At 46.9% G+C, this 18,979-nt stretch overlaps 1 protein-coding gene across 21 annotated transcripts in view, besides 1 other annotated feature; it reads right to left on the bottom strand.

Moving 5' to 3' along the window:
- The window catches only part of TPO (thyroid peroxidase), a 169,627-nt gene that overhangs the window by 115,526 nt on the left and 35,122 nt on the right, over window positions 1–18,979 (bottom strand). For 7 of the 21 annotated variants that reach the window (XM_011510380.4, XM_024453090.2, XM_047445657.1 and 4 more), the window contains exons 1-3: window positions 14,425–14,685; window positions 13,646–13,740; window positions 5,019–5,103 (exon numbers count right to left, since the gene is read on the bottom strand). In XM_011510380.4, coding sequence (XP_011508682.2) covers window positions 5,019–5,103; window positions 13,646–13,740; window positions 14,425–14,459 — 215 coding nt within the window. In that variant the 5' untranslated portion in view covers window positions 14,460–14,685. Of the gene's footprint in view, window positions 1–5,018; window positions 5,104–13,645; window positions 13,741–14,424; window positions 14,686–14,705; window positions 14,885–18,979 lie in introns of those variants that run through there. The other 14 variants (XM_047445652.1, XM_047445654.1, XM_047445656.1 and 11 more) reach the window with 5 other exon arrangements.
- Window positions 9,649–10,848: an enhancer, noted in NCBI's record as "P300/CBP strongly-dependent group 1 enhancer chr2:1421072-1422271 (GRCh37/hg19 assembly coordinates)". NCBI's record gives its function as "activates an origin of replication core promoter dependent on BRD2, BRD4, P300/CBP, MED14 and CDK7 cofactors, with strong dependence on P300/CBP, by STARR-seq in HCT116 cells {active_cell/tissue: HCT116}" and the evidence as "EXISTENCE:reporter gene assay evidence [ECO:0000049][PMID:35650434]".

Raw genomic sequence — 18,979 nt, 5'->3', positions numbered from 1 at the left:
GGCTCTTAATTGCAGCAAAATATCTGAAAATCAAACTCAAATTAGGGAAACTTTGACTCTAGCTGGTTTCGCATTCTTAATGTGAAGAGCCCACACAGAGCCATGCATCAAATGTATGTTCCCACGAATTCTCTGGATCGCTCTCGGTTTGGGGACATCATCCAATAGCTTCATTTGATTAAATAATAACACTCCTTTAGCTCTTCTGTCTGTCATCCCAGTAATGCCCAGAGTGTTTCACCGTGAACAGTAAACAGACTCAAATGGTATCACCAATCTAGATGCAGATATTCCAGGCTGAATACACCCTGGAACTCACAGCAAATTGTGAATATTGGAAATGGTCCCTGAATGCTAAAAGGGAATGAATTTACTGCTCAAGGAGTGTGAGCCCAGACAGATCATGGGGTGAGCAACTGAGACTGATGGGAGCATTTGGTTCCTCGGCCTCTGGTCTCCCGGACCCACAGCCTCCTCATGCAGACGCTTCTTCTGTCCATGCCGAAATTATAAAATTATGAAGCGGAGAAAGGGAGACAGTTGCTCCCACTCTCACGGCAGGTGGAGGGAGCAGATCTGCAGTGCCCGCTCTTTGCCATGGTGGGAGAAAAGCACACTGCCCTGTCCGAGGGGTGCCTGCCAGGTCAAGGGCACACTCACCCTCACCCCCACACACTCATGGGGCCACTCACTACCAGCCACACCTGGCCAGGTGGCCCAGACACAATGCCTGCCTCCCTCACAGGGTCTGGCTGCTGCAGGTGAACCTGGTTGCTGATGCAGCCTGGGCCGCAGGCCCCAGAACCCTCCCCTGCCTCCCTGGACATCATATCTTCCTTCAGAACACACTGCACTCTCCAGTCAAACAGGGATGCTCTTCCCCAGAGCCTGGGCCGGCAAGCTCACTGCACATCATAAAGATCTGGGTCCCCAGGCACAGGGCCCCCCTCCCCAGATGTGGCCCCTTCTGTGTGCAGCCTGCCCTGGTCTCCTTTCCATTGCTCTATGGGAGCTGGTCTCAGGGAATGAGCGTAAACACTAAAACTCTGGCCCCATCTACCTTGGGAGCAAAGTCCCTTTGTCCCTGGCCCCATGCTATCCAGGTAAGTGAAGTGATGAATGAGGGGGTAGGGTGGTCTCAGACTCTCCCTTTTCGTAAACACTTCCGTAGGCAGGCTCTGTGCTTTCCTATCACTTTCCAAAAGCCTAGGGCCATACCACTGTCCATGAGTGAGTGGAAGAAATGATTTAGGCACACTCTAGTTTTGGATATTATTATTTAGAAAAGTTATTTTTTTTCCTTTTCGGCTCTAAAGTAACTAGATGTGTTTTGAAGGATAAAAGTATTTTATTATTATTAAAACTTTTACTCAAAGTAAGTCAGTTCTCCAACCAACAAACCATCATGTTTCCTGATGATCTAATAAATTCATCCCTAAATGAAGTGCCTTCTTCAGGTGTCTGTCTTTACAGAAGGAGCATGGACTTTTCAGAATATGAAATAATCTAATGCATTTCTGTATCCTGGCATCTAAAACAATGACTTTACAGAAGGAGCATGGACTTCTGAGAATATGAAATGATCTAACTTATCTCTGTATCCCGGCATCTAGAACAATGACTTTACAGAAGGAGCATGGACTTTTGAGGATATGAAATGATCGAACTCATCTCTGTATCCCGGCATCTAGAACAACGACTTTACAGAAGAAGCATGGACTTCTGAGGATATGAAATGATCAAACTCATCTCTGTATCCCGGCATCTAGAAAAATGACTTTATGGAAGGAGCACGGACTTCTGAGAATATGAAATGATCGAACTCATCTCTGTATCCTGGCATCTAGAACAATGACTTTATAGAAGGAGCATGGACTTCTGAGTATATGAAATGATCAAACTCACCTCTGTATCCCGGCATCTAGAACAATGACTTTACGGAAGGAGCACAGACTTCTGAGGATATGAAATGATCGAACTCATCTCTGTATCCTGGCATCTAGAACAATGACTTTACAGAAGGAGCATAGACTTCTGAGGATATGAAATGATCAAACTCATCTCTGTATCCCAGCATCTAGAAAAATGACTTTATGGAAGGAGCACGGACTTCTGAGAATATGAAATGATCGAACTCATCTCTGTATCCTGGCATCTAGAACAATGACTTTACAGAAGGAGCATGGACTTCTGAGTATATGAAATGATCAAACTCACCTCTGTATCCCGGCATCTAGAACAATGACTTTACGGAAGGAGCACAGACTTCTGAGGATATGAAATGATCGAACTCATCTCTGTATCCTGGCATCTAGAACAATGACTTTACAGAAGGAGCATAGACTTCTGAGGATATGAAATGATCTAACGCATCTCTGTATCCCGGCATCTAGAACAATGACTTTACAGAAGGAGTACAGACTTCTGAGGATAGAAAATGATATAACTCATCTCTGTATCCCAGCATCTAGAACAATGACTTTACAGAAGGAGCATAGACTTCTGAGGATATGAAATGATCTAATGCATCTCTGTATCCTGGCATCTAGAACAATGACTGCATAGAAGGAGCTCAGACTTTTGAGGATATGAAATGATCAAACTCATCTCTGTATCCCGGCATCTAGAACGATGACTTTACAGAAGGAGTACGGACTTCTGAGGATATGAAATGATCTAACGCATCTCTGTATCCCGGTATCTAGAACAATGACTTTACAGAAGGGGCACGGACTTCTGAGAATATGAAATGATCTAACGCATCTCTGTATCCCGACATCTAGAAAAATGACTGCACAGAACGGGCATGGACTTCTGAGAATATGAAATGATCTAACTCATCTCTGTATCCCGGCATCTAGAACAATGAGTTTACAGGAGGAGCATAGACTTCTGAGAATATGAAATGATCGAACTCATCTCTGTATCCTGGCATCTAGAACATGACTTTACAGAAGGAGCATGGACTTCTGAGAATATGAAATAATCTAACTCATCTCTGTATCCCGGCATCTAGAACAATGACTGCATAGAAGGAGCTCAGACTTTTGAGGATATGAAATAATCAAACTCATCTCTGTATCCCAGCATCCAGAACAATGACTTTACAGAAGGGGCACGGACTTCTGAGGATATGAAATGATCAAACTCATCTCTGTATCCCGGCATCTAGAACAATGACTTTATAGAGGGAGCATGGACTTCTGAGGATATGAAATGATCAAACTCATCTCTGTATCCCAACATCTAGAAAAATGACTTTACAGAAGGAGCATAGACTTCTGAGGATATGAAATGATCTAACGCATCTCTGTATCCCGGCATCTAGAACAATGACTTTACAGAAGGAGCACGGACTTCTGAGGATATGAAATGATCGAACTCATCTCTGTATCCCGGCATCTAGAACAATGACTGTTCCACAGTAGAAACAGTATTTCTTAAGGAAAGAAACATAGTTGGAATAGGTGTATAGTATAGTGTATTTTTTTGAGAGCTATCAAAAGGCAAATCTTTCCAATAGTCTCCCCAGTTGATGCCTCTCCTGGTCTTCCCTCACTCTAATGCATCCTTAGGATCAAGGCATTGATTTCAAAAGGGTTCTGTTAACATGCAATTTGTAAACCAAAAATAAAATTCTAATGTCCTCGCCTAACCACCTGAGTGGATCCCACCTCTCGGCCAAGAGCATTCCAAAGTTAGCCTGAAAAGCTGGGTCAGGTCACGATGGAAGGTGGTGGGTCAGACACACCTCCTTCTACCCCTCCAGCATCAACATCAACACAGACCTTAAGTCTGATAAGAAACATTCACCATCTCTTCTCTGTGAAGCTCATAAAACCTTGGTGTCCACAACCCCTTAACATAACCCAGACATTCCGTCCTACTGATAATAATTCCTTCAGCTGATTGTCAGTCAGAAAACTGTTACATCTACTTATGACCTGGAAGCTCCCCACCATGTAAATCTGACACGTATTGATTGATGTCTTATGTCTCTCTAAGATGTGTAAAAGCAAGCTGTGCCCCAGCCATCTTGGGCACATGTCCTCAGGACCTCCTGACACTGCGTCACAGGTGCATCCTTATCCTTGTTAAAATAAACGTTCTAAATTGACTGAGATCTGTCTTAGATACTTGGGTTCACAAATTGTTACTAAGAGAGCAGCACACACTTCTTACTACGCACTTGGTATCCACCCCCACTGCCATGTCTTCCCCAGGAATTCCTGCCCATTTTAGACATATTAAAGTGTGCGTGAGTTTATGAGAAATAGTGTTTCTCTTTCTTTTCCCTTTGATTCAATTTTTAGAAAATAAATAATAATTTGTTTGCAGCCAATATGAACAGTAAGGTATTTTTCTGGCTGGAATAATAGAAATTTGGAATAAATTAACTGCTGTCTTTTGATATTTTGTATCTCAAGAACTTATATAATTATTAGTCAACTTCCTACAAAATAATAAGCTTGGGAGGGCAAACTGCTTTACAGGTTTTTTGTTTTTTGTTTTTCTTTTCTTTTTCTAGACAGGTAATATGAGACCACAATATTCTTAATAGTGGTGTCTGTTATATAATTACAAATGCTAATTATTTCAAAAATGGGGGAGAGCCCCATTTAATTCTTTATTCTATGCCACAGGTAATGTTACAGTTATATCACAACACCAAAGATCTGGGATCTAGGTCTCTCTTTTCCTCCTTAATCTGTCCTAATCCTGGAGAAGAGAGGCTGGTTTTGCTATCAGGACGTCAGCCTCTACTGTCTTTTAACCAGGGTATACGTAATTGCTAATTGCATCAGGGTGCTCCTCCTTTGTGTCTTGCTTAAGAAAGGATTGGAGATTAAATACCAGTTCTGTCTGCTGCTTGCACATGACACTGGGGAAGTAAATTAACAATGGCAAGCTTCAGGTTTTCATCTGCAATTGCGAAAATCAGGCCACACGTGTGTGGATGTCAGGGAGGATGCGCCTGTCGGTGGCATTTGGGGCGGCGGCCCCTCCGCAAGGCTCACCTCTGCATCGTGGCGTACATGGCGGTGTCCACCAGGCGCTTGCTTTCCTCCAAGACGCTAGAGACACGAGACTCCTCAGGCTTTCCTACGGAACAGAATGTCACACAGTCAAAGCGCAATGACAGTTCAGCGATTCACTGACAGTGTTGCTTTGTTCCTCAAGCCCATCTTGCTGCGGTGATGCCCACGTGGCTTCCGGGACAGGCAGGCAGCCAGGTCCCGGGGTCGCTTCCCTCCACAGGCCTTCACTTCCCCGCTACAGAGGGGCGTCCACCCCCACTGCACGGAGCTGCCTGGAGGATGGGATCAGAGCTACTCACCTTAATTTCGCACTTGCCCAAACCACTTCAAATGATTCCGAATAACTTTTGTTCTGAACATTCATCACTGGTTACCTGAGCCAGTGGTAAAGTTGATAAGATTTGCCTATCTTGTGTATTTAATAAAAGATAAAATAATTCCACTATACCAGTAGTTTCCAATGAAAGCACTCCTGTGTTATTTGTTTTAGCACCTGGAATGTGTAAGAGGTTAAGATCCCATTTCTGGGTATCACCGTGAAGTTCCGGACGCGGTAACAGGAAGACGGCAAGTGTTTCCGGCCATGTTCACACGTCAGTCCTGTTACTAAATTCACCTGCGTAGCATCAATACTTCACCAAAGGAATGAATTGGCTCCTAAAAGCAAATAGAAGTCCCTGAGGGGCACACCAGGCTCTCGCTCTCCCCATGGCCCAGCGCGGCGCCTGCACGAGGTCGGTCCAGCGCGGCGCCTGCACGAGGTCGGTCCAGGAGAGGCGCCTGCACGAGGTCTGTCCAGGAGAGGCGCCTGCGGGGTCTTCAAGGCTTCAGTCCCACGCGCCTTCCATGCTCGTCCCCACCCAAGGAGCACACAAATTCCCCAGCATCATTTCTTCCTGCTCACTCTGCCCTGCTCCGTCTGTTCCATTGGCCACCCAGTTTCTTACAGTGTGATACAGCAAAGTTAAGAAAACCTCCGTGCTGGATCTCTCTTGGGTTCTGGGATGAGTAACCAGTGGTTAAGCACTTGGGGCAGAGGGTGACCCCTCAGGGTTGGGCAGAGAGCAATGAACAGAGCCCCCCGGTGTGGGGCTCCCTGGGGCAAGGGCAGGAGGGAGGGAGGAACACCTAGCACGGGCTCACAGCTCGCCGGGGACCCCCAGCACAGCCGTCAGAGCTGCAGGCTCTGGGTGTGGAATCTGAAGAGGGGACCTGGCTTTACGCCAATGTGTGCGTGCTGGGGACAGTGCAATGTGGGACGATGCCACCAAGAGTGAGTAGGAGCCGAGAGGGGAGGGGCGGCCTGGGCGTCGCAGGATCGGTGGCAGGTGTGGACCTCAAGGACCAGCATTCCGGGCTTTATGGAGATTTCTTTCAGCTCTCAAGAATCAGGGAACCTCCTGTTCCCACAAAAGCTTGAGATATAAGACACCTGGAATTTTCCTTTATTTTCCTCTTATTTCCTTCTAAACCCACTGCAACTGCCCAGGCAACTCAACTCACATTTTGTATTCTGTGGTCAGTCACGACCGCTTATTTGCCAAATGCAGTAACCAGCCCCGCCCCCCACCTCCCCAGGACTCTGGTGCTTTTGGGATGTTGCCGGCATTCTTAAGTGGCAGAGGGGTGACGGCCATGGGCTCTGGAGTGAGACAAATCAATCTCCGAGTGACGCGGCAGCTCACTTCACCTGGCGCGGTTTTCTCTCCTAGCTGCAGAGTTACATCTTAGGATGGTTTTAGAGAGAAGTTTGCACAGCTCTTGGCCGAGGGCCTCGCAAGTGTGCTCTGAAGAGAGAAGTTTGCACGGCTCTGGGCTGAGGGCCTGGCAAGTGCACAGAGTTACGTCTTAGGATGGTTTTACAGAGAGGTTTGCACGGCTTTTGGTCCAGGGCCTGGCAAGCGTTCAGTGCTCCCGGCCGTCGTGCCTTTTGCTTTCAGTCTCTGGCCACTCTCTCTCTCAGCCTCGGTCACTGTGGCTCTCTTCTCTCCATGGTCTCCCTCCTGTGAGTGTCACCTCGGGTGCATTTCTGGCTCCTCTGATCTTTGCCCTCTCCTCTCACCCTCCTTTGGTCCTCTCCCAAACGCCCGTTTTCCACTTGAACTTCTCTCCTGAGTCACGCCATCCTCCTCTGTTCCCTGTTGAGGGGTGTTAACAGCCTGAAATAACCACCCTACCAGCTCAAGTCCCCAAGCAAGAAGCCCAGCCGTGGCTTTCCTTGCCTTTCACTCACCATGTGGTGTGAATTTCCCCATAATGTCTCTGGGAGAACGTTCTGCTCCTGCCTGGCCGTTGTCAGTCTCACTTTCTACTGCCTTAGTAGAAGGAGCTCTTGACTGGCTCCTGCACTGATCTCCCCACCATCCTTCTGTCCCTCCTGCTGTCACCCAAGTGACCTTTCTAAACCAAGGCCTGCTTGTGCCTGTGCCTTTGATGAAAGCATCTGAAGGCTCCTGATGCCCACTGAATTGCGTGCAGGTCTTCCTCAGAATCCAGGACGTCCACCACCTGCCCAAGACCAATCTCCATGTTGCAGAGCTGTGGAGGTAACGCACAATTTATCCTTCATCTCATGAAATTGTCAATCTCAAGCTCCCAGCTCTTCCTTTATGAAATTTTGATCCTGCTGATCTTTAGGTACCAGAAAAAAAATTAGCTCTGTCACTCACACCACCTGTGTATATGCATCCTATCACTGAGAGTCTCTTCAGGGCTCTGCAAAGTTCTGCGCTATTCACGACCAAGACCAAAGGCTGGTTTTCAGCAGGCACTTGACAATTATTTAAGAACCAACTGATTAAATATAAAGAAACATGCTTATCCTTCTCTACTATGCTTGGAAACGGCAGTTACTAGAGAGATCATTCCTTGTTATTGACCAATATTAATATATTGTTATTCAAGTTTAACTGATCATATGTTGCTTAGTCTCTAGTTTCTTTTCTTATTGTAAAATATTTTACAGAATTAAAACATTCTTATAGGCTTGCAGATTATTAGTCTTTTAAGTTTCATAAAATAAATCCATTTCTGTATTGAAAACTTCCTCCCAGAGACACATAACTCTCATCAGATAGTCTCAAGTCTCTACTGGAACCGGTGGTGTTTTCATTGTTTAGGTTAACTACTTCTTGGCTGAATAGAGATGACTGACATCCATCTGTAGGGGAAGAAGAAACCTTTTCTCTCCCTGCATCTTAGATTAATTTTCTGGGGCATTGAAATTAGACTGACAAAAGGCAGAGTCACAGGAGGAAAACTCACAGGGGTTATTAGCCTGGACTCCTGCTTCCACGAGGGAGCCCCCTGAGCGCCCCAAGATGGAAACTCGAATGGATCGTTAGAACTCTGCTGCACAGCCCCTCAGCAAAAGAACAATCATTTTCCAAGAAGCTGCAAGACCAAAGCAAAGGACTTTGAGTTCCCAGGAAACACGTTTTGAGGAGGCCTCTCTGGGGCAACTACAGGAAGGGAGGCCGGGGCTGCAGAGGTTTGCCACACAAATGCCTCTGGGGCTGGTTCCAGGCTGTTGAGGGCCTGGGGTCCCTGGTGATGAATTTCTGTCCTTTCTGTTGGAGAGGGAAATGGTCACTTTTGCGGATTTATGTTCTACTTTTAGGCAATAGAGGCAGGGCAGATGGCTTTTCCTTTATCTGCTGCTTCTCAGTTTCCATCAGCTCACATTAGCTCTCCTGCCACCAGGGAGCTGGGGTGGCCAGCTCTGAGCCCCTTGCTATCGTTAGCTCTGCAGCGCCCTTCCTTCCTCAGTTCCCAGCAATCCCAGGGAAGAGGCGTCTGATGCAAGGACCATAGACTTAGGGAGTTTGAACCCGAAGTTTTTTTTCAGAACTGAACACTGAGTTCTAGGGAGTCACGGGACTTAATTACTTGCTCTGGAGAAGCCGCCCGCTGCTCTCTGCCTGCGCCTTCTCAAGATTGCTCCTGCTCTGAGGGGCGCATGGCACGGTTCCCCCAAATTCTCCTTTATGCATATTCATATTGTTCATAAAAGAGGTGGAATTCAGGGACACATTAGGCAAGAACATACCACATTTCAGAAAGAAGAAGGAAGTTGCCTTGTTCCAAAGGCTGTTTATGTTAAATATATATATGAAAGCCAAAATCTTTCTTCTCCAAAACCATAAGCCCCCAGGGCCAGAGCTTTGCTCCTAATTCTAAGCGCTTGATTCCTGTTTAGAGTTGTGTGTTGATTCTTACTTTAATCCTTGCTGTTTGTTGAAATTTAATGAACTGGAATAAGGTTTGCCAACTTTCCTTTTAAAACAAATTCACTCATTAGGCTAGCTTCCCAAATTTTCCCAGGCTGCAGGCAGCGCCTCTGCTTCTTCTTGTTCATTTGCATCTTATTTTCTTTTAACAGCTATAACTTGTGGAACATTTGCCATAAAGATAATTGCACATAAATCTTGATGTTGCACAAATGCTGGAATGCCTCTCAGCCTGTGTGGTGATGAATACACAGGGTTCTGGTGAAGAACATTCTGTTCAGGGCGTTAGAGGAGGGATTGATAGCAAACTTCTCTTAGACAACAATGGTCAAGCATAGATTTTTTTTCCATTTTCAAAGACTCTTATTACAGAATTTTCAGGTGCTGAAGTTTATTTCTCTTTGTGCTTTGACCCTAGGGGATCCTGCTCTGGAACAAGAGTCTCTCCTGCACCCACCCAGTCTGAGCACCAGCCAAGATCTTTCCCTTCTTATTCTCACCTTCCTACAGTTTGCAGGCAAGTTGATACAACCTAAACTCTATCCAGGACTGATGCTTTTCTTTTTTTCTCTCTCTCTCTTTTTTTTTTTTTTTTGAGATGGATTCTCACTCTGTCACCTAGACTGGAGTGCAGTGGTGTGATCTCGACTCTGCAACCTCCACCTCCTGGGTTCAACTGATTCTCGTGCCTCAGCCTCCCGAGTAGCTGGGATGACAGGTGGGCACCACCACGCCCAGCTAATTTTTTTTTGTATTTTTAGTAGAGATGGGGTTTTGCCATGTTGGTCAGGCTGGTCTTGAACTCCTAGCCTCAAGTGATCTTCCCGCCTCGGCCTCCCAAAGTGTTGGGATTGCAGATGTGAGTCATGGCACTGGCCTGATACTGTGTTGGGATTGCAGATGTGAGTCACGGCACTGGCCTAATACTGTGTTGGGATTGCAGATGTGAGTCACGGCACTGGCCTGATGATACTGTGTTGGGATTGCAGATGTGAGTCACGGCACTGGCCTGATACTGTGTTGGGATTGCAGATGTGAGTCACGGCACTGGCCTGATACTGTGTTGGGATTGCAGATGTGAGTCACGGCACTGGCCTGATGATACTGTGTTGGGATTGCAGATGTGAGTCACGGCACTGGCCTGATACTGTGTTGGGATTGCAGATGTGAGTCACGGCACTGGCCTGATGATACTGTGTTGGGATTGCAGATGTGAGTCACGGCACTGGCCTGATACTGTGTTGGGATTGCAGATGTGAGTCACGGCACTGGCCTGATACTGTGTTGGGATTGCAGATGTGAGTCACGGCACTGGCCTGATGATACTGTGTTGGGATTGCAGATGTGAGTCACGGCACTGGCCTGATACTGTGTTGGGATTGCAGATGTGAGTCACGGCACTGGCCTGATACTGTGTTGGGACTGCAGATGTGAGTCACGGCACTGGCCTGATGATACTGTGTTGGGATTGCAGATGTGAGTCACGGCACTGGCCTGATACTGTGTTGGGATTGCAGATGTGAGTCACGGCACTGGCCTGATACTGTGTTGGGATTGCAGATGTGAGTCACGGCACTGGCCTGATGATACTGTGTTGGGATTGCAGATGTGAGTCACGGCACTGGCCTGATACTGTGTTGGGATTGCAGATGTGAGTCACGGCACTGGCCTGATGATACTGTGTTGGGATTGCAGATGTGAGTCACGGCACTGGCCTGATACTTTTCGCTGAGTACTTATCATCGAGCTTCAAGTATGAGGATGTGTGTTGGTTCTCTGTAAAGACCTGGGACGTGAGACTGTGAGACTGAGCGGCCACAGCCTTGCTGCTTCTGAGACTTCCAGACCTCTACGTTTTGATCTATAAAATGGGTGCCTGACACATAAGGGTGAGCCACCCACCAAGCAGGACCCCCCGGAGCACCATGTGCTTACGGTGACCGTGTGTGGTCCAGGGGGAGCCTGGATCCTCTTGGCCCTGCCGCTGCCTGCTCTTTGGCTTGTCCTGCACAGAGGCTGGGGAGCAGGCCAAGGTTTTTGCTTCACATGTCTGTGAGCACAGGTGACATAAACCCACACACAGTCATTGGGCATCATTTTCCAAACAGATTTAAAGCTGCAAAACAACTATTAAAGGCTGTAAAATAGAAATACTGTGAGACACATAATATTTTTTCAGTAACTCATTCACATTTCAAGCAAACAATAAGTCAGCTTTGAAATATTGGAGCAGGCAGAAGCATGTGCCCAGCACGCGGGGCAGTTGTCAGCTGCTGTCCTGTGCACTCGTGATGTGTCAACCAAAAGTTTAAGCAAAACGAAAAGGTCAAATCTCCCAGATATGGAAAAATAATTTTTAAAAACTGTTTTAGCAAAAGCTGTGGCTACTGCATTCCTGATGGCTTTTTAAATGTGATTTTTAAAATTAAAAAACATGTTACAAAGTTTTAAATATTTTGTTGAATAGCTCTCATGTATCACAACTTGCTCAGAACTAGCTCTTGACTTCTAACATGTTTTACTCTGGTTTTATACAACCAGGTCCTACTAAATATGAAATAAAATAACAAAGTAATTAATTTACAAACCATTGGCTGAACATCTAGCATGTTCCAGGTGATAGAGTGACTGATTTATTCTGGGAAGATGCAAAATCACTTTTTCCTGAGGTTCTTTATATTGTGACTCCATTTTTATTTTTTGTTTTTTGGTGATTGCCGAGGTACTGCATTCACCGCTTTAAATGAAGTATCTCATTCTTGCTCACAAATAATGACTGCGATGAGTAATTTTCCAGTGTTCTCCATTTGCAGGGGAGGGACAGGAATTAGGGGTGAGTAGCCCATCCTTGGGGCATGGATGGAAGCTGGCAGGGAGAGGCCCCACGGCTTCCCTGATCTCAGAGCGGGCAGTGACCAGGAAGTCCTGGGGGCTGTGGAGGGAGAGTTTTTTTAAGGAGCCTACGAGTCTGTTATGGACTTCACTGCCACTCCTAATATGGTTGTGAAGTCCTGAGATGCAGAAAAATTGGGGTAAAATGTGGCCCCCAGCAGGAGGCTGGGCTGGGTGTGGCTGGGAACAGCGAGGACTCCAGATTCTGTGACCCTGAACGACAGACAAGGCCTCCAGTCCTGGGAAAGGCTGGTGAGGGCAGAGGTGCCAGTGCTGTGCCATGGCCCCAAGACTGTGTCCAGAGACCCAGGGACCTGCCCGGCAAGGTGTCACCTGCTCCAGGGGCTCCGGGACTATGTGCAGAGGCCCAGGGACCTGCCCAGTGAGGTGTCACCTGCTCCAGGGGCCCCAAGACTGTGTCCAGAGACCCAGGGACCTGCCCGGCAAGGTGTCACCTGCTCCAGGGGCCCCGGGACTATGTGCAGAGGCCCAGGGACCTGCCCAGCGAGGTGTCACCTGCTCCAGGGGCCCCGGGACTGTGTGCAGAGGCCCAGGGACCTGCCCGGTGAGCTGTCACCTGCTCCAGGGGCCCCGAGACTGTGTCCAGAGGCCCAGGGACCTGCCCGGCGAAGTGTCACCTGCTCCAGGGGCCCCGGGACTGTGTGCAGAGGCCCAGGGACCTGCCCAGTGAGGTGTCACCTGCTCCAGGGGCCCCGGGACTGTGTCCAGAGGCCCAGGGACCTGCCCGGTGAGGTGTCACCTGCTCCAGGGGCCCCGGGACTGTGTGCAGAGGCCCAGGGACCTGCCCGGCGAGGTGTCACCTGCTCCAGGGGCCCTGGGACTGTGTCCAGAGGCCCAGGGACCTGCCCGGCGAGGTGTCACCTGCTCCAGGGGCCCCGGGACTGTGTGCAGAGGCCCAGGGACCTGCCCAGCGAGGTGTCACCTGCTCCCGGGGCCAGCGGTGTCCATGGGGTAAAATGTCCAGGCAAATGCCCCTGCAGTATTCACTCCAGTGAAACTTGTTCTCAGGGTTTGGAACTTTATTTATTTTATTAAAAGAAAAGCAAAGAGCTTGATCTGTGATTATTTTAACCACTGCATCTCAGTAGCTTTCTTAACTTGTTTTCACATAGTAGCACACTGATTCCAGAAAATACATCACAGAAGTTATTTAATAAAAAATAATTCTGTAGCAAAGGAAGAAAAACACTCCCAAAGAATTTTTTTTTCAGTTATATGAATAGGTAAAAGTGAAAATTGTCTATTGTGTCATCCAAGGAAAATCAGCTCTTTTTTAAAGAAAGAAATGTACATATTTCAATCCTTCTAAAATCAAGAATTACAATTTTTTTTTCTTAAGCATAACAAAGCATACACTACAGGGGCCTAAAGTGACTCTCAGGAGCTACCATTATGCCCTCTATTTTAGTAAGTGTGAAAAATAACTTTATAAGGCCAGAAGACCGCAATGTGTTTGCTACTTACCCCAAAGGAGTTCTTTCCCTCTCGAGATGAAGGGGAAGAAGGCTTCTGTGCAGGCCATAACCAGCGTGACAGACAGCACAGCGAGCGCTCTCATTCTAAAATTAACGGAAGGAGACAGAGTATGTAATCAAGCACTGACAAGGCCATGGGAACCGCTGTGTCCTTGTCTCCCTGCTGAGGGGCTCCCTCCACTGACTCCACGCAGCCTCTACCGCAGTGAGCGACCCTCACAGGCCTGGGGTCTGCGAGACCAGAGTCGCCGTCCATGTCAGGAGGTTACAGAAACTGCAGCGCTGAGCAGGCCTCCCAGGCCCCCATTATTCAAAAACAGAGTTTTTATGTTGGCAGCTCCAGTTGCCAATATATCTCAGTAATAACCTATTTAAATTTTTGGTAATGTCAAATAGTGTAACAGTACTGGGAATAATTATTGGGAATGAAAAAAATCTGTTTCCCCTAATGCATCTATGTGGCAAAAAGTGAGTACTATTAGAAATTTAGTCTTTATAAAAGTGATAAATAAAACCCCTAAATGCCTATTGAATTTCTTAAAGCATTCTTATGTCCATAAAATGATTTTAGAATTCTAGTTGTTAAGACAAAACAGAAGATTCAAAATTCATCATTTCTACTTTCAAATCCTTGTTTTCTTCTCTTAGGCTTTCTGTGGCTATTTTTGAGCCACTAATTTTGTTAAGCAGGATAGCACCAGTGAGTCCATGCTGACAGGAATGTGTCTCAGTAGACGGTGATCTAGGAATCGACCCTACAGGACTCACATGTTCCAGCGGAGGTCATTGCAAACAGCACTCATCAGTCAGTCAGTCAGCTTTGCTGAGAGACGCCACCCATACCTGCTATAATGGCCCAAATTACAGCCACTCTTGGGCCACTTTACAAGTTCCAATGATGAATTTCTCTTAGAAAATGGAAAAATAAAAAGCTTTACAACCTGACCTTTTTTCCTCTTCTCAGCCAACTGCACTGCTGAGTAATTTTCACGGCTGTAACTCTTCTGAAATGGGCGCCTTAATTGCCTTCCAGGGACTTGGTTACCCACCTTATAAACTGACTCCGCGCTTGGATAGCCCGTCAAGATGCTAGGAAGTCGAGTGGCGTCCGTTCTTCGTGGGGACAGAATGTCTGCGGGCTTTGTTGTGTTTGCGCCGGGCCTCTTGTGTGTCCTGACTGGTCAGAAACAAAGTGCCATGTCATCGGGGTCCACATGCAGTCCAGCCTCTGGCCGAATGAGTTAGGAAGAAGAGGGGAAAAATTATACAGGGAGAAAGAATAAACCAACTAAATCCAGACTTGTGACACTTGCATTTTCCTCCCTCTTACTTTCACAGTTAAATACCCTGTGAAAAAGGGGCTGTTAATCTTCCGAGGATTGGGTTGGGTGCAGCTCCCAGGCCCACCGATGACTCGCTCTACAACTCTGAGCCTTTTGCTTCCTGTCCCCAAGCCCCTAGTTTTCTTATCACTAAGAGGTGAATAAAGTACACTTTTTTCCAATTTGTTGAGGTGAAAAATGAGCACAGTTCAGTGTGTGTTCACCAGCATGCATTCTCCCCTCAATCCTCATCATGCACCCATCAAAAGAGTCCCCACAAAGACAGAGATGTTCTGTAGGAAGGTCACCATGACTGCATTCCGAACACTGGGAGATGACATGTTTTCATGGGTGATCTGCTTTCAGGCTGTATCTCATCATGAAAATGATAAAATAACACATCTTCAATGACCTGCTCCTGAGACTTGGAGCCTCTTCATGCCCCCGGAAGTCCTATGGGTTTCTAGTTTGTGAAAATCATCTTCATCTTTCTCCTTTTCTTTCCCTTCTCCAAATGTGACTGATGCTTCCTCTAGGTAATTTGAAACCAAATGCTAAAACACGATGCAAAGGCTTCAGAACATTAATCTTTGTTAGAAGATGTTCTGAAGCCCAAGAATGTGATGATTTGCCTTTAACATTCTCCCCTCAATCCTCATCACTCACCCCTCAAATGGGTGAAGATAACAAATGAGTTAGACAAGCTCTGAAGAGCAGGGAGGAGATCAGCCAACAGTGATATAATCCCCCCACGCACCCTGAGAATGGTCACTAGGAGGGTGGGGTTTGGATAGAGAGGAAGGACCAGACTCGGTGGCTCATTAAAGAGGATTCCATGGCTCAATGATGAGTTACTGTTGGGAACAGAAGAAAAGCACAGAGCCTCTGAGGATTCAGCCATCCTCGGTTTGATGCCTAAGCAAGTGAAAATCTCATGTACTGGCCCTAGGAAGGCCAGAGAAGAAAGGAGACTGGCTGTGACAAGCAAAGGAGCAGCAGACTCAGGCTTGGAATTGTGTTGGAGGTGCCCGTGGCACAGGCGGGCAGTGAGCTCTTGGGCATTTGGAAATGTACTTTCAGCTGTTGGGTGAAGTCCAGCTTAAAAAGACACATTTGGGAGTCCTGAGGGGGGATACAGTAGTGGACTGTGAGTGAATGGGATTCTTCTTGGGAGAATGTGGATGGAAAAGACCTCAAGAGTAGCTCAGAGCACCAGCGTCTAGGGGACACAGTCCCCCAGCCTGTGACTGCAACCTGCATGGCAAAAGGGGCTTTGCAGATGGGATTCAGTTAAGATTTTGAGGAGGGGAGATTAGCCTGGATTATCCACTGGCCTTAGTGTTAGCACACAGCTCCTTACAAGACAAAGGTGGGAAAGTCTGAGGGGAGAAAGGGGGAAGTGATGATGGAAACTGAGACTGGAGGGCCGTGGCCATGAGCCTCCAGAAACTGGAGGAGGCCAGGAGCAGGGCCTCTGGGGTCTCCAGGCACAACCAGGCCTGTCCCTGGACCTTGCTGCCAAAAGTCTCATTTGGATCTATGACCTCCGGAGCTGATGGAGTAAAGCCACTAAGCACGTGGCCCTTTGTTAAGGCATTCGCAGGAAATTCACACAGCCAGAAAGGTGGGTGGTAAAATGAGACAGCGTGGGGCAAATACTCAAGGAAGAGTTTGAAGAAGAAAGCATTAAAATGTAAAGTAAATACTGACTGGATGCTCTTTTCATCACAGAAGGACGCTTGAAAATGCCGAGTGCCGATGGAGACCTGGGAAGAGGGGGTTTGCATGCACAGCTGGGGGAGGCCGAGCCGGCACATCAACTCTCCAGGTCGTTTTGTAGCCTCTCCTCTAAGTTGCTGTTACCATTTGACCCCGCACAAATATGAGAAATGTATCTATCATTTGAAAATACATATTTTAGCTGGATTACATGATGTGCTTATTTTAATACTAATTAAACAATATAAATAATGCATCAAGTACAATGGAAGCTGTTACACTGGAAATGTTGAGAGGGGAGCGGAGAAAAGTCTGAGAATGGCGGGTTTGCAGGAGGCCCACTGGATAGCACACACATTTTTGAGAAAGAAGACGGGGGACTTGGGAAGGAAGATTTCTGCAGGGGGACGTGGAAAACCCGAGGCTATCACATAATGGGAGAATGAAAGAGAGGCAACTAAAGATCTGGCTGAAGCCCCCAGTCTCTGTCAGAAAGGAGCATTGGGAAGACGTGGCCACCCAGCAATGGAGAGCAGAGAGATTGCAGGGGAGACTCAGTGAGAAAGAGGACAGTTTTAGCCATGAGAAGGAAAGAAAAAAATACACGTCTTCTCCCATTATGAGAAAAATCAAGGAGCTCCAAAGAAGACAGAAATCTGCAAGGAACGCATGATACAGTAAGAAGCCAACTCACACATGGCAGGATGGGGGAATGCAGGGCCCTGCTACAAGCAGGTCTCAGTGAAGGAGTGGCACCAGCCCTGCGGTCCAGTCCCGGGCCCACCGAGAAGACAAGCACGCTTCCATTTTTTGGCAAGTGCCAATGAACTATTTGATATCCTGGGGAAATCTGATTACTGAATACCTTGATCAATGCATGAGAAACAGCAAATCACACATTTTGCTTGATGTCTCCATAGAAAGGCCACCTTTCTCCCTGCAGACATCGTGTGTTCTGTCCACAGACAAGAGGCTCTCCCTAACCGAGGCCCAGGACCACCTGTAATAGGCCCTTGCCTGTGACTGTAACAGAAAAGGGATCCAGGGTGGGCTCACACTTGACTCACCTGACATGTGGCCAGGGCCTGACTGCCTTGTGTTCTTCAAACTACAGCCTGATGTTGCCTTTTTTACTTGCCATTCACTTTTTAGTTTTTGTTTTCCTCGCCCCCAGCTTCATCAAGCTATCATTAACAAATACAAATTATACATATTTATGTTCACATGATGTTTTCATACATGTAAACACTGTGGGGTGATTAAATCAAGCTAATTAACATATACAGCACCTCACGTATTCATCCTTTTGTGTGTGTGATAGGAACATTTAATATCTATTCTCCTAGCGATTTTCAAATAAACAATAGTCATCAAGCTATACATTAGATCCCAGAACATTTTTATCCTGCAACTGAAACCCTCACTTTTGACCAGCATCTTTCTGCCCCTCACGGCACCTGTCCCCCCCATGGCACCAGCCCCCACCACACCTGCCCCCCACCGCACCTGCCCCGTAACCCTAGGTGTCCACCATCCACTCTCTGCTTCCATGAGCTCGACACTTTTAGATTCCATATAGGAGGGAGATCATGAGGTGTTTGTCTTTTGGTGCCTGGCTTGTGTGTGTATGTGCACGTGCATGTGTGTGTGTGTGTGCGCGCACTGTTTTTTGTATTTTTAAATTTGTAAGTTTATTTTTTAAGAGATGAACATGGATGAGAGGAGACTCAGGGACCTGATGACCCCCGACGGCCGTGGGCTGCACAGTGCCAGGACTGGATCCTGGAAGAGGAAAGGATGCAGATGGAAAAGCTGGGGATACCAGGGTGAGCTCTGAGATGTAATCACCAGCATTGGATCCACGTCCACTCCCTGGTCCTGGTTGCTGTGCTGTGGCCGTGCATAGAGTTAACACTGAGCAGGTGGGTGAAGGAGGTTTGGGAGCTCTGTGTTATCTTCCAACTCTTATTACAGCTCAATTCATTTTAAAACAAATTTGGAAAATAAAATGCTGTCATTCAAACTTAATTAAATTCCCCTGTAAAATTTGAAAAATTATTCAGCTTTGTTCAAACTCAGGTAGGTAATTTCCCAGTTTATATGAGTCAGATAAAACTAAAGACAAATACAGGAGGGTTTTTGTTAATTGAAATTCAGGAAATAAACATGGGGCTCTCTCACACCACAAAAAGCTCCACATTCAGCAGTAACCATTTTAATGGCTCCAGTTTTTCTGAGTAGGAGGTAGGAGTCTGGAATCTGGGGACAGCAGTCACGTCCCC

The sequence above is a fragment of the Homo sapiens genome, chromosome 2, assembly GCF_000001405.40.
Source record: "Homo sapiens chromosome 2, GRCh38.p14 Primary Assembly".
NCBI classification, from domain to species: domain Eukaryota; kingdom Metazoa; phylum Chordata; class Mammalia; order Primates; family Hominidae; genus Homo; species Homo sapiens.
Note: the sequence above shows the minus strand (reverse complement) of the source record. Positions and strands in the feature narration are given on the sequence as shown.